Source organism: Homo sapiens, chromosome 1 (assembly GCF_000001405.40).
Source record: "Homo sapiens chromosome 1, GRCh38.p14 Primary Assembly".
Taxonomy (NCBI): Eukaryota; Metazoa; Chordata; class Mammalia; order Primates; family Hominidae; genus Homo; species Homo sapiens.
Genome location: NC_000001.11, coordinates 61,860,506 through 61,874,623, shown reverse-complemented (window position 1 = coordinate 61,874,623; position 14,118 = coordinate 61,860,506). Strand labels below are relative to the sequence as shown.

At 40.1% G+C, this 14,118-nt stretch overlaps 1 protein-coding gene across 24 annotated transcripts in view; it reads right to left on the bottom strand.

Moving 5' to 3' along the window:
* The window catches only part of PATJ (PATJ crumbs cell polarity complex component), a 421,436-nt gene that overhangs the window by 289,292 nt on the left and 118,026 nt on the right, over positions 1-14,118 (bottom strand). For 22 of the 24 annotated variants that reach the window (XR_007061928.1, XM_011540462.4, XM_011540467.4 and 19 more), the window contains 2 exons: positions 12,957-13,073; positions 9,991-10,386 (listed from right to left, as the gene is read on the bottom strand). Coding sequence is in view for 22 of the 24 variants with exons in the window: in XM_011540462.4 (XP_011538764.1) it covers positions 9,991-10,386; positions 12,957-13,073 (513 nt within the window). In the remaining 2 variants the exon portion in view is untranslated. Of the gene's footprint in view, positions 1-3,285; positions 3,393-9,990; positions 10,387-12,956; positions 13,074-14,118 lie in introns of those variants that run through there. The other 2 variants (XM_011540470.3, XM_017000001.2) reach the window with 2 other exon arrangements.

The window sequence follows — 14,118 nt, the reverse complement described above, 5'->3', positions numbered from 1 at the left end:
ATATGTTAAAATCCTAACCCCCAAGGTGAAGATATTTAGAAGTGGGGACTTTTGTGGGGTGATAGAGTTATGAGGGCAGAGCCCTGGTGAATGGGATTAGTAGTGCCTTTATAAAATAGGCCCAAGGGGCTGGGTGTGGTGGCTCACACCTGTAATCCCAACACTTTGGGAGGCCAAGGCAGGTGGATCACTTGAACCAGGCATTTGAGACCAGCCCAGCCAACATGGGGAAACCCTGTCTCTACTAAAAATACAAAAATTAGCCAGGCATGGTGGTGCATGGCTGTAATCCCAGCTACTTGGGAGGCTGAGGAGAACCACTTGAATCTGGGAGGCAGAAGTTGCAGTGAGCTGAGAACAGGCCATTGCACTCTAGCCTGAGTGACAGAGAGACACTGTCTCAAAAATAAATAAATAAATAAATAAATAAATAAATAAATAAATAAATAAAATAGGCCCAAGGGAGCTCATTCCACTCTTCCACCCTGTGAGGACACAGCTAAAGGATGACATTTATGAACCAGAAAGGGGGCCCTCACTGATGCAGAATTTTTGCTCCTTAACTCAGCTAATCTGGGTTCTTGTCTCATGATCAGGAAGAATTAGGCACACGGACACACTGAAGAGTGAGGAGGGTGGAATTTTTAAGCAAAAAGAAAGCTCTCAGCAAAGAGAGGGGGTCCCGCAAGCAGATTTTCACATCCCAAATTGAATACCTGGGCCACCCCACAGCAGCTGAAGAGGCCAGGCTCCTCCCCTGCATAAGACACAAATTCCTGGTGGCTCCACCCCATTCCCCCCAGTGCATGGGTCTCCAGCCTGCTGTGGGCATGCCTAGGCAAACTCCCTGTGCAGGTTCCCTTATCTGTACAAAACATGTGGTGTAAACACTTGTAGGGGAGGTCAGAGATTCTCCAGGGACCCTTCCTAATCTGCCTAAGCCTTTGTCCGCCTCCTGCCTCTAACATCACCAGACACCAAATGTGTGGACACCTTCATCTTGGACTTCCCAGCCTTCATAACTGTGAGAAATAAATTTGTTTTGTTTATAAGCTACCCAGTTAATGGTATCTTGTTATAGCAGGCCAAACAGACTAAGATAGAAAACATCATATTTTCACTTTAAGTATCTTTTTATATTTTAAAAAATTTTATTGCCGGGTGCAGTGGCTCATGCCTATAATCCCAGCACTTTGGGAGGCCAAAATGTGTAGATCACTTAAGGCCAGGAGTTTGAGACAAGCTGGTCAATATGGCGAAACCCCATCTCTACAAAAAAATTATAAAAACTAGCCAGGCATAGCGGTGTGTGCCTGCAGTCCCAGCTACTCAGGAGGCTGAGGTGGGAGGATAGCCTGAGCCTGGGAGGGTGAGGCTGCAGTGAGCTGTGATCATGACACTCCAGCCTGGGCAAAAGAGTGAGACCCTGTCTTTATAAATAAATAAATAATAAAAATAAGAAATTTTATCAGTACAAATTTAAATGACTATTTTATAGCCACCTTAGGGATGTACCATAATTTATTTAAGGTAACACTATGTTATTCTTTATTGCTGGAATTTTGGTTGTTCAAAACAAAATGTGAATTTTGTTTTGAAAATGGTCTACTTTTTCTGTAAAGTGGTCAGACTTCAATGATAAGAGAAGGATCATTCATAAGCCGATATACAAAATACTTCCAGCTTTGCAAAGTAGATTATGAATTTGGTAATGCTGGGCAAGGTAGCAGAGCCCCAGCAACAGAAAGTGATTGGCACGCAGGTAGTAAAGAGAATTTACTGACAACAGCACAGGCTTGAAAAGTCAAGTTTTATTAGACAGAAAGAACACTGTAGTGGGGCGCTTCAGCAAGAGAGGACTGAGTGGGCCTCCGAGGATTTTCCTTAGGGGTATTTATAGACCTTAAAGCAGGAGCGTAAGGGTAATTTGGACCCTATTAGTTTTGCAGGTCATGATAGATTGATTACATTTGTAGACATGTTGGTGCCTTGATGTCAGCAAAGGCTGCACAATGAGTTTCGATATGCATGCATTCAGGAGACATATAGAAATTCTAGCTACTTATAAATTTTTGGGAAAGCAGCCTGGTAACCAGATGCTGGCTTTAGATAACAGGGAAGTCTAATTGCTTCTAAATTCCTCAGATAAGGAGTTTTGCCTCTGGATGGCATAGTTGATGACCACCAGGTAATCTTTGCTCTCTTCATTATACATCTAAATTCCTCAGATAAGGAGTTTTGCCTCCAGATGGTCTGCTTCATGGTCACCAGGTGATTTTTGCTCGCCTCGGGTAAGTATGTAACTATATCAGATAACTAATGGAGCCTAAGGAACATAGAATTCAACTCAAATATTAAATAGGGGTAAGAAAGGGGATCTGACTACATAGTTGCCTAGAATAAAATAAGCAAGAACTTCTTACAGAAAACAGTGAGGATTTGGAAGGAACTGAGCAGTTAAAAAGAAGAAGGTTGTAATTTGGGGCCATTTGGACTTCTTAAACAAAGTTAATGGTAATTCTGTTAATAGTAAATGAAGAAGAAGAAAATTGATATCCAAATCTGGGATTTCAATACATTGGGTATGATAGGTGAGATATTTATAAACAGGAATTTCTGGCTGGGAGCAGTGGCTCAAGCCTGTAATCCCAGCACTTTGGGAGGCCGAGGTGGGTGGACCACTTGAGGTCAGGAGTTCAAGACCAGCCTGACCAACATGGAGAAACCCCGTCTCTACTAAAAATACAAAAAAAAAAAAAAAGCCAGACGTGGTGGCTCACGCCTGTAATCCCAGCACTTTGGGAGGCCAGGGTGGGCAGATAGCCTGAGGTCAGGAGTTTGAGACCAGCCTGGCCAATGTGGTGAAACCCCATCTCTACTAAAAAATGCAAAAATTAGCTGGGCGTGGTGGTGGGTGCCTGTAATACCAGCTACTCAGAAGGCTGAGGTAGGAGAATTGCTTGAACCCAGGATACAGAGGCTGCAGTGAGCCGAGATCACACCACTGCACTCCAGCTTGGGTGACAGAGTGAGATTCCATCTCAAAAAAAAAAAAAAAAAAAAAAATATATATATATATATATACACACACACACACATATTTATATATATGCGTATATATGTATATATACATATATACACATATATATGTATATACATATATATACGCATATATATGTGTATATACACATATATATGTACATATATATGTATATATATACACATATATATATATACACAAAAAATTATCCAGGCATGGTGGCGCATGCCTGTAATCCCACCTACTTGGGAGGCTGAGGCAGGAGAATCGCTTGAACCTGGGTGGCAGAGGTTGCGGTGAGCCAAGATTGCACCATTGCACTTCAGCCTGAGCAACAAGAGTGAAACTCCATCTCAAAAAAAATAAAAAATAAATTAAATAAACAAGAATTTCTTTTTTCTGGTTTTTTTTTTCAAATAGAGAAGTTTTTTTTTCTAAAAAGAGAAGAAAATAAGAACATAGAATTATTCTTAGGTAAATAACCCTCAGGCAAAAAAAAAAAAACAAAAAAAACAAAAACCAAATCTTTAAAAAATGGACAAAGGACTTGAACAGACATTTCTCCAAAGAATACATAAAGATGGCCAAATAAGCACATGAAAGGATGCTCAATATCACTAATTGTTAGGATAATGCAAAACAAAACATAAGATAGCACTTTATACTCCTAAGAAGCAAACAAAAAGCCAACAAACAAGTGTTGGAGAGACTGTGGAGAAATTTGAAACCTTGTGCTTTGCTAATGGAAATATAAACTGGTGCAGCTGCTTGCTGTAGAGAACAGTATAGCTCCCCAAAAATTAAATATAGAATTAGCATATGATCCAGCAATTCCACTGCTGAGTATATACTAAAAAGAACTGAAAGCAGGGATTTCAACAGATATTTATATACCAATGTTCATAACACCATTATTCGCAATGGCCAAAGGTAGAAACAACCTAAATATCCATCAACAGATGAATGGAAAAACAAAATGTGGTATATATGGTGGGGACCTATAGGAACCTCAGAGTTGGTATTGGTAGTGACAGGAGGCAGAGAAATTTAAGGGCAGGTCCCTGACAAAACCCCACCCTCAAGCCTAAAACCATGGCCCAAACTGTTTTCCTGCTCAAATGTTACCTTTTCCTAAACCACCCATGCCCTCGCCCTGCTCTATCCTGTGCCTATAAAGACCCTAGACTCAGCTGGCAGAGAGAAGAAGCAGCTGGATGTCAGGGACTACAGCTGGACATCAGAGAAAAGCAGCTTGACTTTAGAGGGACAGCTTGATGGTGAAACTCTGGAGAATAATCCAGCCAGAGATGGCTGGACTTCTGGGGAAGATTACCTACCCACCTCCCCATCTCCTTTGCAGCTCCCCTTCCCACTGAGAGCCACTTTATTGGCAATAAAATCCCCGCATTTGCCATCCTTCAATTCATTCATGCAGCCTCATTTTTCCTGGATACCAGAAAGCGCTCAGGAGCCACAAGTGTGGATACAAAAGGCTGTCACACTGGCCCTTTGCCCTCGCTGGCAGAGGGCAGCGGCCTCACGTGAAAAGGCAGAGGGCTCACTGAACTGTTAACACTTAAGCCGTCCGCAGATGGCAGAGCTAAAAGATCACCGTAACACGCCCACTGGGGCTTCGGGGATTGCACGCACCTCCCCTAGATGCTGCCGCTGGGCCTGCACAGAATTTGCTCCTGCCAGTACCCAAAAGCGCTTGCCCAGGCTCCTGCACCCGCTCACCTGAGTGCTCCCCTCCCATGAGGGGTGAACGCTGCAGGTCTGAGTGAGTGGAGTTTACTCTTGCCAGTGCCAAAGCAGTCAGATGGTTCCAGCAGGCATGTACTCCAGTTCCCACCTTGTTCACTCACACACTCCCTCCCTCGAGGAGAGCAGTGGGCTGAGTAAACAGGGCACCTCTGTCACAAGTCCCACAAAGGGGTCAGGGGACTATCTGGCTTCAGTATGAAGATTATTATAAACTAAAGATACTTTAGATTTAACAGATGCAGAAAAAAGCCTTCTCAGAGCTTCCCTTATGTGACTAAGCAGCAAGTTCTAGGAAATGAGGCTATCAAACATTCCCTCTTGAGGTGGGTCGACCCCCAGGAAGATTGAGAGTAAGCTACTATAAATGCCCTCTTGAGGAATGGCAATAAGCAAACAGAAGGATCAGTGGCCCTGCATTTAAAAAATTATCAACATAATCAAAAATGTTAACTTTGGGAGGCCGAGGCGGGCGGATCACGAGGTCAGGAGATCGAGACCATCCCGGCTAAAACGGTGAAACCCCGTCTCTACTAAAAATACAAAAAATTAGCCGGGCGTAGTGGCGGGCGCCTGTAGTCCCAGCTACTTGGGAGGCTGAGGCAGGAGAATGGCGTGAACCCGGGAGGCGGAGCTTGCAGTGAGCCGAGATGGCGCCACTGCACTCCAGCCTGGGCGACAGAGCGAGACTCCGTCTCAAAAAAGAAAAAAAAAAAAAAAAAAAATGTTATTTCCATTTGTTCTCCTAAAAACCCGTTTGTCTTTCCTAAACAAACCTAGTTGTTCTTCTCATAGAAGCTTTTTCTGCCCTCCCTTTCCCCATGTTACGTATGTAAGCTCTAACTTTAATCACTTAGTGAGCTTGCTGCTTCTTTTGTTGCGTTCATGTGTGTATAAATAAAACTTTATTCTCCTGTTAATGCCTTATGTCAGTTTAATTTGCACTCTCCCAGGCACAAAATAGAGGGTAGAGGAGAAGTTTTTTCTCCGAGACATATATCTATAAGGAAATATTTTATTCAACTTTTTTTTTTGAGACGGAGTCTCTCTCTGTTGCCCAGGCTGGAGTGCAGTGGCGCAATCTCAGTTCACTGCAACCTCTGCCTCCCAGTTTGAAGCGATTCTCCTGGCTCAGCCTCCCGAGTAGCTGGAACCACAGGCATGCACCACCATGCCTGGCTAATTTTTCTATTTTTAGTAGAGATGGGGTTTCACCATGTTGGCCAGGCTGGTCTCGAATTCCTGACCTGAAGTGATCCACCCACCTTGGCCTCCCAAAGTGCTAGGATTACAGGCATGAGCCACCATGCCCGGCCTATTCAACTTTAAAAAGGGAGGAAATTCTGACATATTCTACAACATGGATGAATCTTAAAGACATTACACTAAGTGAAAGAGCCAGACACAAAAGAAAAATATTGTACCATTCCACTTTTTTCAGTTGCTTTAGTATAGTCAAATTCTTAGAGATAGAAAATAAAATAGTGTTTGGTTGGCAGGGGATAGAGAGAGAGGAGAAAGATCAGATTATTGTTTAATGAGTAGAGTTTCAGTGTGGGATGATAAGATCTGTAGCAACATGGTGGCCATGTTTACACAAAAATGTACATGTACTTAATGCCACTGAACTATATACCTAAAAATGATTAAAATGGTAAATTGTGTGTTGTGTGTCTTTTACTATAACTAAAAAATACCCAGATCTATAGACCTTTAGTGTTTTTACTCTTCAGCTAAAGTGAAGTATGAGGGTGGAAGAGAAAGATAAAGTTTGAAGTAGTTAGGTACCATTTGCCCTCCACAAATATAGCTGACATCTATAGCCCCAAATGGATATTACAACCAAGACAGAAATAATAATGTTCCTTCACCATTTGGGAGGGCACCCTCTAGAATAGTATTGGGAATTACATATTTGTAAGGGATTTGAATGTGTTTTTAAAATCTTCTCAGAGCTTATAATATTAGATAATATTATTAGATAAATTATCACAAGGGTCCATCAGCAATACAATGGGGGCAAATATTCAAGCCCATCCTGATCAACGGGTGTAAGTGTTCCTCACTGTGGAAGGGAGGAAAAGAGCCAATACCTTAAGAAAGCACATATAATTACTTAAAGAAAATAAAATACTGTTTAGGCAAGAAACATTCGGGCTGAAATAGTCTTACTCAATGCTGGTTTGGGGAGCCTATAGAGGTTACCTTTACAGCCTACGTGAGAATTGGCAAAAAAAAAAAAAAAAAAATTTTACAGATTTTAAAATATGAATAAGTAAACTTCCAGAGTAAATATTATAAATATACATTTGACTGTTTCATCTACAGCCTTAAAAGTGTATACATTAAAATAAACTGATATTTCAGGTTGCCTTTTGTTTCGGTAAACAGAAAATTTTCTTTTTATGGAAGAAAATGGCAATAACAAGCAAGTATGGCTGAATCAGTAATGAGAAATAAAAAGAGGGAAGCTAGGAAATTTAACATAGATTTAGTAATCAGAATATGCATTCTTCAAATTGTAAGCACTGACTATTGTTTTAAACAAGCCTCTTGAAGAACACTTTAACAAACAATAGAGTAAGTGGTTATGTCAGAGGTGCTGGAACCAGAGCAACTCCATCTTGAATAGCGCTGGGTAAAATGAGGCTGAGACCTACTGGGCTGCATTTCCAGATGGTTAAGGCATTCTAAGTCACAGGATGAGACACGATGTTGGCACAAGATACAGGTCATAAAGACCTTGCTGATAAAATGGTTGCAGTAAAGAAGCCAGCCAAAACCCACCAAAACCAAGATGGCAACGAGAGTGACCTCTGGTCGTCCTCACTGCTACACTCCCACCAGCGCCATGACAGTTTACAAATGCCACAGTAACATCAGGAAGTTACCCTATATGGTCTAAAAAGGGGAGGCATGAATAATCCACCCCTTATTTAGCATATAATCAAAAAATAACTATAAAAATGGGCAACCAGTAGCCCTCAGGACTGCTCTATCTATGGAGTAGCCATTCTTTTATTCTTTTACTTTCCTAATAAACTTGCTTTCATTTTACTCTATGGATTCGCTCAAATTTTTCTTGTGCGAGGTCCAAGAACCCTCTCTTGGCATCTGGATCAGGACCTCTTTCCGGTAACAGTTATATTGTGAAGAGCATCAATACAAACTTATAAGAGGGATTTTTTTTTTTAACTTAACGTTACACAAATGACACTTGAGATAAGAATAAAATTTTGAGTGACAGTACAGATTCAAAAATTGCTGTATCTCAAACAACCTAGTTAGAAATGAAGATATATTTGGAAAGCTGTGTTAAACGATCAAAAAGTGATTCTAGTGATAATGTAGATACTGACATTAAATATGCACTGAAGAATTCAAATAAAATTATATAATTAAATATGAGAATAGGCAAAAAAAATTTAACATCTCACAGGTTTTCAAATTGAATGTTTAACTAAACTTACAAAGTAAATATCGTAAGTATACATTTGACCATTTCATCTATAGCCTTCAAAGTTTATATATGAACTGGTATTTCAGGTTGCCTTTTATTTGGGTACATAGAAAATTATCTTTTAATAGAAGAAAACAGAACAAGGGAATTTTTATGAATATTCAGTAATCTTTCCAATTTGATTCATATAACTGAATATGTATGCTGTTTGGCGTTAAGCACTGACAGATATGAGAGGGACTGGCAAATATAGAAAGTACCAACGTCAACGGAGCACACCAGATTCCATGTGACCTCTTTCCAGAGGCAACCAGGCATCATTCACATATTCCAAAAACATCTGTTCTCTGGTACACTGCCCAGGGCCCTCTATCATGGTGAATCCTCCAGGGTCACATAAATAAAACCAGCACAGCACCTTGCCCAACAGAGGAAGCCACCAGCATTTGCATGAGGGACAAAGTGAGGAAATGTCTAAGGGAGGCAAGGGCAGAAACACCCTCTATCTGCCCACTGAGAGAACACCTGAAGCCACACTTTGCACATCACAACAGGAAAGGTGCCAACCTCAGAGAGGGAAGCAACACGCTGCATATGAACATATTACTAAGCTGTCTTTTTAAAAATGTCCCCATACAGTAAGTCTGTTTCCATTTGCCTAAAAGTTAATTTGGGGCAGGAAATAAAAAAAACAAAAATATTTTTTAAAGTCCTTAATTAAGGATTCCAATTAGTGACTGCTTGACTATAATTTTATGAAAAATAAAGTTTATTGGTGATATAATAGTAAAGGCAAATCTATTAAAATATAATGCTCTTCGCTGGGCACAGTGGCTCCTACCTGTAATCCCAGCACTTCGGGAGGCCGAGATGGGAGATGGGAGATGGGAGATGCTTGACCCCAGGAGTTCAAGACCAGCCTGGGCAACATGGCAAAACTCCATCTCTACAAAAAAATTTAAAAAAAAAACAAAACTAGCCAGGCATGGTGGTACATGCCTGTGGTCCCAGCAGCTCAGGAAGCCGAGGTGAGAGGATCCATGGAGCCTGGGAGGTCGAGGCTGCAGTGAGCCATGAATATGCCACTGCACTGCACTCCAGCCTGGGCGACAGAGAGAGGCCCTGTCTCAGAAAAAAAAAAAAAAAAGAGAAAAGAAAATTTTATATACATATATATACACGTATATATATACACACACACAATGCTTTCCCTCCAAGTTGTAAATAAATAGCATCTCAAGTGTAAAGATAATTTTCTAGAGTTGAGTGCTTTTAGCATCATACATAACACAGAGAAAAATGTGGGTGACCAAGATATAAACAAGAATATGTATGTACTAACTTGGCCTTGATTTTGCCTGATAAATAAACTATGTGAAAAATATACAGCTGTGTTTCCCCAGGGAATTTTTTTTTTTAAATCACAAATGTTAAAAGAACTCTTCTCTGAAATGAGAAATTGGAAAAACATCACTAAAAAAGCAAAGCAAAAAGCCCTAAAACAACAGCAAGGCAACTGCAGTTTATTGACCCCCATGAGAAGATGTGAAATACAGAAAAGACGAGCTTATACTTACAGCTAGACACTGGATGACACATCTTGTAAACAGTGACGACTTACGGAAAGGCCCATTTAAAAACAAACAACATTGAAGTGACATGAGTTAGAGACAGGGACAGGCGAGGAGAGCAGAAGGGGAGGTGTGGAATATCTATTCTAATCTCTTACCACATTTTCAGGGCAATAGCCATACGGCTGTGCCTCCTGGGAATAGACAGTCCTCCCGGTTCTTGCCTCTTGAGACTCGGATGGTTCATTATCATGCAACCACTGTGTACCAAAGTGAAGTTCATTCACAGAGGGCACAGGAGTGGCCTCTTGAATGTGCGACAAGGGATACAACTCCATGGATGGTGAGGGATCTTGATATAACTCATATTCTTCATCAACAAGAATTTCTCTTTCTTCATCCATTTCCTGCAATCTAGGAGTCAGAAATTCATGCATCTCCCAGGCCTCCTTGCTTTGCTCTATCTCTTTTTGTTGGGAATGGAAAGACTTTCCCAGATCTAGAAATGGTTCATCCACAAGTTCTTCTTTAAAATATGGTTCATCTCTAAATCCCTATAAATAAAAGATGCAAAAAAATGTGAAGTTACGCCTGTCCTGAAGCTGCACTATATAGATAAACTGGAAAATTTTCAAATGCTGGCGTGACTGCATATGCCAAGGCACAGCTAACATGCACAGCTCTCCACAGCAAACATGGAGAAACACAAGCTCACCTCCACACAATCCTTAACCCAGAAGAGGGACAAATAGTAAATTATGAGGCAGAAATCTGCCCTTGGCAAGGTGAATGATTTTGCTAAAACGTTCATTATACATTAACCACCTGACAATTCTCCACTAGAAATAGGAATTTTGTTAAACTCTTACACTAAATATTTAACCCATAAAAAGTAGTACATAAGTATACATACACTGCAAACTATTATTTAAGAAAGCAAAGACTTAAAAGGTCAGGATTTTCAAGCTTAAATAACTCAAAAGAAATTATAACTATCTGAATGTTCAGAAAACATTCTCTATAAACTAAAGATATGGGGAGTATGTCTCTACTTTGAGTATGACTCTTTTATAATATAAAAAATAACAAATCTTATTTTTCATCTGTGTTGAAAATAAATATGAAGGAATGAATACAGTATTTTAAAAATTAATTTATATTTCACTAATCAGAACAGCTAGTGCATACCACTGAAACTAAATGTGCAGAAACTGTGTGGGTTCCTGGCTAAAACCTGGCATATAGATTTGCTCAGACCATGACCTATCTCTGGAGAACCTCTGGGTGCCGGGCATAATGAGGTCCTCTTCTTTCTAAGAGATCAAAGATCTTTCCTATTTTAAGTCTTATTCTTTACTACCAAGAAGTAAATTCCTGGAATAAATCTATTCTTTTCTATTGTCTTCTCCTTGCAGCTAAACATCATTGTAGTGAAGCTTTTAAATTAACACAGTAGGGCTGGGCATGGTGGCTCATGCCTGTAATCCCAGCACTTTGGGAGGCCAAGGCAGGAGGATCTCTTGAGTACAAGAGTTCTAGACCAGGCTGGGCAATATAGTGAGCCCCCGTCTCTACAAAAAAATTTAAAAATTAGCCAGGCATGGTGGCATGCGCCTGTGGTGCCAGCTACTTGGGAGACTGAGGCAAAGAATTGCTTGAGCCAAGGAGACTGACGCTGAAGTGAGTTATGATCACACCACTGCCCTCCAGCCTGGACAACAGAGCAAGATACCATCTCAAAAAAAAAAAAAAAAAAAAAAAAAACTGAAAACAGTAATACTGCCCTGTATTTTTTTTTTAATGTGGTTAGAGGATGTATTTGAACACATCATATGGTTATGAAATTTTTAAAATGTCGGCACTAAAAAATATAATAGACATCATAGAAACATATATCATCTTGAGACACTGTCTACATATTATGCAAAGAATATCACTAGACAGTTGTTATCAAGTAAAGCAAAACCATACTCTAACTGCAAAGAGCAACATAAGTATAATTCCTTTTAAGAATAAAAAAGGAAAGCTTCAAAATAAATTTTCTAAAATTAAAGCATAAGGTAGGGTTTGACTAAATAACTCTTCTTTAGAAAGTATTCAATATGAATACTTTTTGTGTAGTTCCATTTTTATAGCATTTTAAATGCAGGTCTATTTTCAACAATATGTTCTACCATCCAAAATTTTAGGAATACATTAGTGTATGTTTGTTCTTTGAAAATGCTTTACGTCGTGCCTTTATCATTTAGAGAGGCAATGTGATATGGAAGGAAAGAATTTAGTTTTAAAAAAATAGGCTGGGCGTGGTGGCTCACGTCTGTAATCTCAGCACTTCGGGAGGCCGAGGTGGGCACATCACCTGAGGTCAGGAGTTCGAGACCAGCCTGGCCAACGTGGCGAAACCCTGTCTCTACTAAAAACACAAAAATTAGCCAGGCGTGGTGGCGCACGCCTGTAGTCCCAGCTACTCGGAAGGCTGAGGCAGGAGAATTGCTTGAACCTGGGAGGCAAAGGTTGCAGTGAGCCGAGATCACACCACTGTACTCCAACTTGGGTGACAGAGTGAGAGTCTGTCAAAAAAAACAAAATAACAACAACAACTATATATATATATGTATATATACAATGAGGCCAGGCACAATGGCTCACACCTGTAATGCCAGCACTCTGGGAGGCTGGGGCAGGTAGATTGCTTGAGCTCAGGGGTTCAAGACCAGCCTGGGCAACGTGATAAAACCTCATCTCTACCAAAAATACAAAAAATTAGCTAGACGTGGTAGCACATGCCTGTGGTCCCAGCTACTCAGGAGGCTGAGGTGGGTGGATCACTTGAACCTGGGAGGCAGAGATTACAGAGATCCCAGATCCCACCACTGCACTCCAGCCTGGGTGACAGAGGGAGATCCCATCTCAAAAAAGAGAGAGAGAGAGAAAGGAGGATTAGTTCATTTATATCTATTTAGCCAGGGATGGGGACAAGCTTTTGTCTTCTTTATGTCTTTATTTATTTCTACTTAGCCAAAGGATAAGGACAAGCTTTTGTCTTATTTTCTTTTTATTCTTTCTACATAGAAATTTTAGCTCATAGCAAATCATTCAAATGGGAAATAAATTTATTAAATACCTTGGGTGCTTCGAGTATTAAAGATGAATTTATATCATGAATTGTTCCTGAAAATTCAGTCTTGTCTTCATTACTGCTTGAATGTAAAATATAACAACTTTCTTCTTCATTATCTTCCTGAAAATATAAACCACTTTTATTTATAAATAAGAAAATATTGTGGGGTGGGGAGCAAGGGGAGGGAGAGCATTAGGACAAATACCTAATGCACACGGGGCTTAAAACCTAGATGATGGGTTGATAAGTGCAGTAAATCACCAATGCACACATATACCTATTTAACAAACCTGAACATTCTGCACATGTATCCCAGAACTTAAAGTAAAAGAAAGAAAGAAAAAAGAAAAGATTCATTCACGTAAAAAAAAAAAAAAAAAAAAAAAGAAAGAAAGAAAATATCCTGGTTTCAAACTCTTCAGATTCTCATCTTTCCATTAAGACAAATACACAACACAAAATTTATTCAAATTGTTTCATTAGAACAAACTTTCTTTAATAACTAAAAAGAACTCCATATTCAGGTCAGAGCTTCCCAAACTTTTTAAAGTATTTCTTAAAGAAAAATCACTTTCCCAGGAATAGACCTTGTATATATAACTATGTACCTGGCACAAAATTAAGTACTGTAAATATATTTAATATATTAATTAATACATTAATATATACTCTAAAACGTGGGTCCTCTTATTAGCCCTATTTTACTGGTGAGCAAAAGTGGACACAGTAATTTGCCAAACGCTACATATCCCAAAATTTCGACCCTGGCTGTCTGGTACTAGAGCCTATGTTCACAATTATCATGCCATGCAATCCTCATCTTTTTTTTTTTTTTTTAAATTGAGACAGAGAGTCTCGCTGTGTCACCCAGACTGGAGTGCAGTGGTGTAATCTTGGCTCACTGCAACCTCCACTGCCCCAGTTCAAGCGATTCTCCTGCCACAGCCTCCAAAGTAGCTGGGACTACAGGCAAGCAACACCTTGCTGGCTAATGTTTTTGTATTTTTAGTAGAGACGAGGTTTCGCCATGTTGGGCAGGCTGGTCTTGAACTCCTGACCTCCCAGGTGATCTGCCCGCCTCCGCCTCCCAAAGTGCTGGGACTACAGGCGTGAGCCACCGCGTACAGCCAATCCTCATCTTACAGATGAGCAAAGTGGAAGCTGA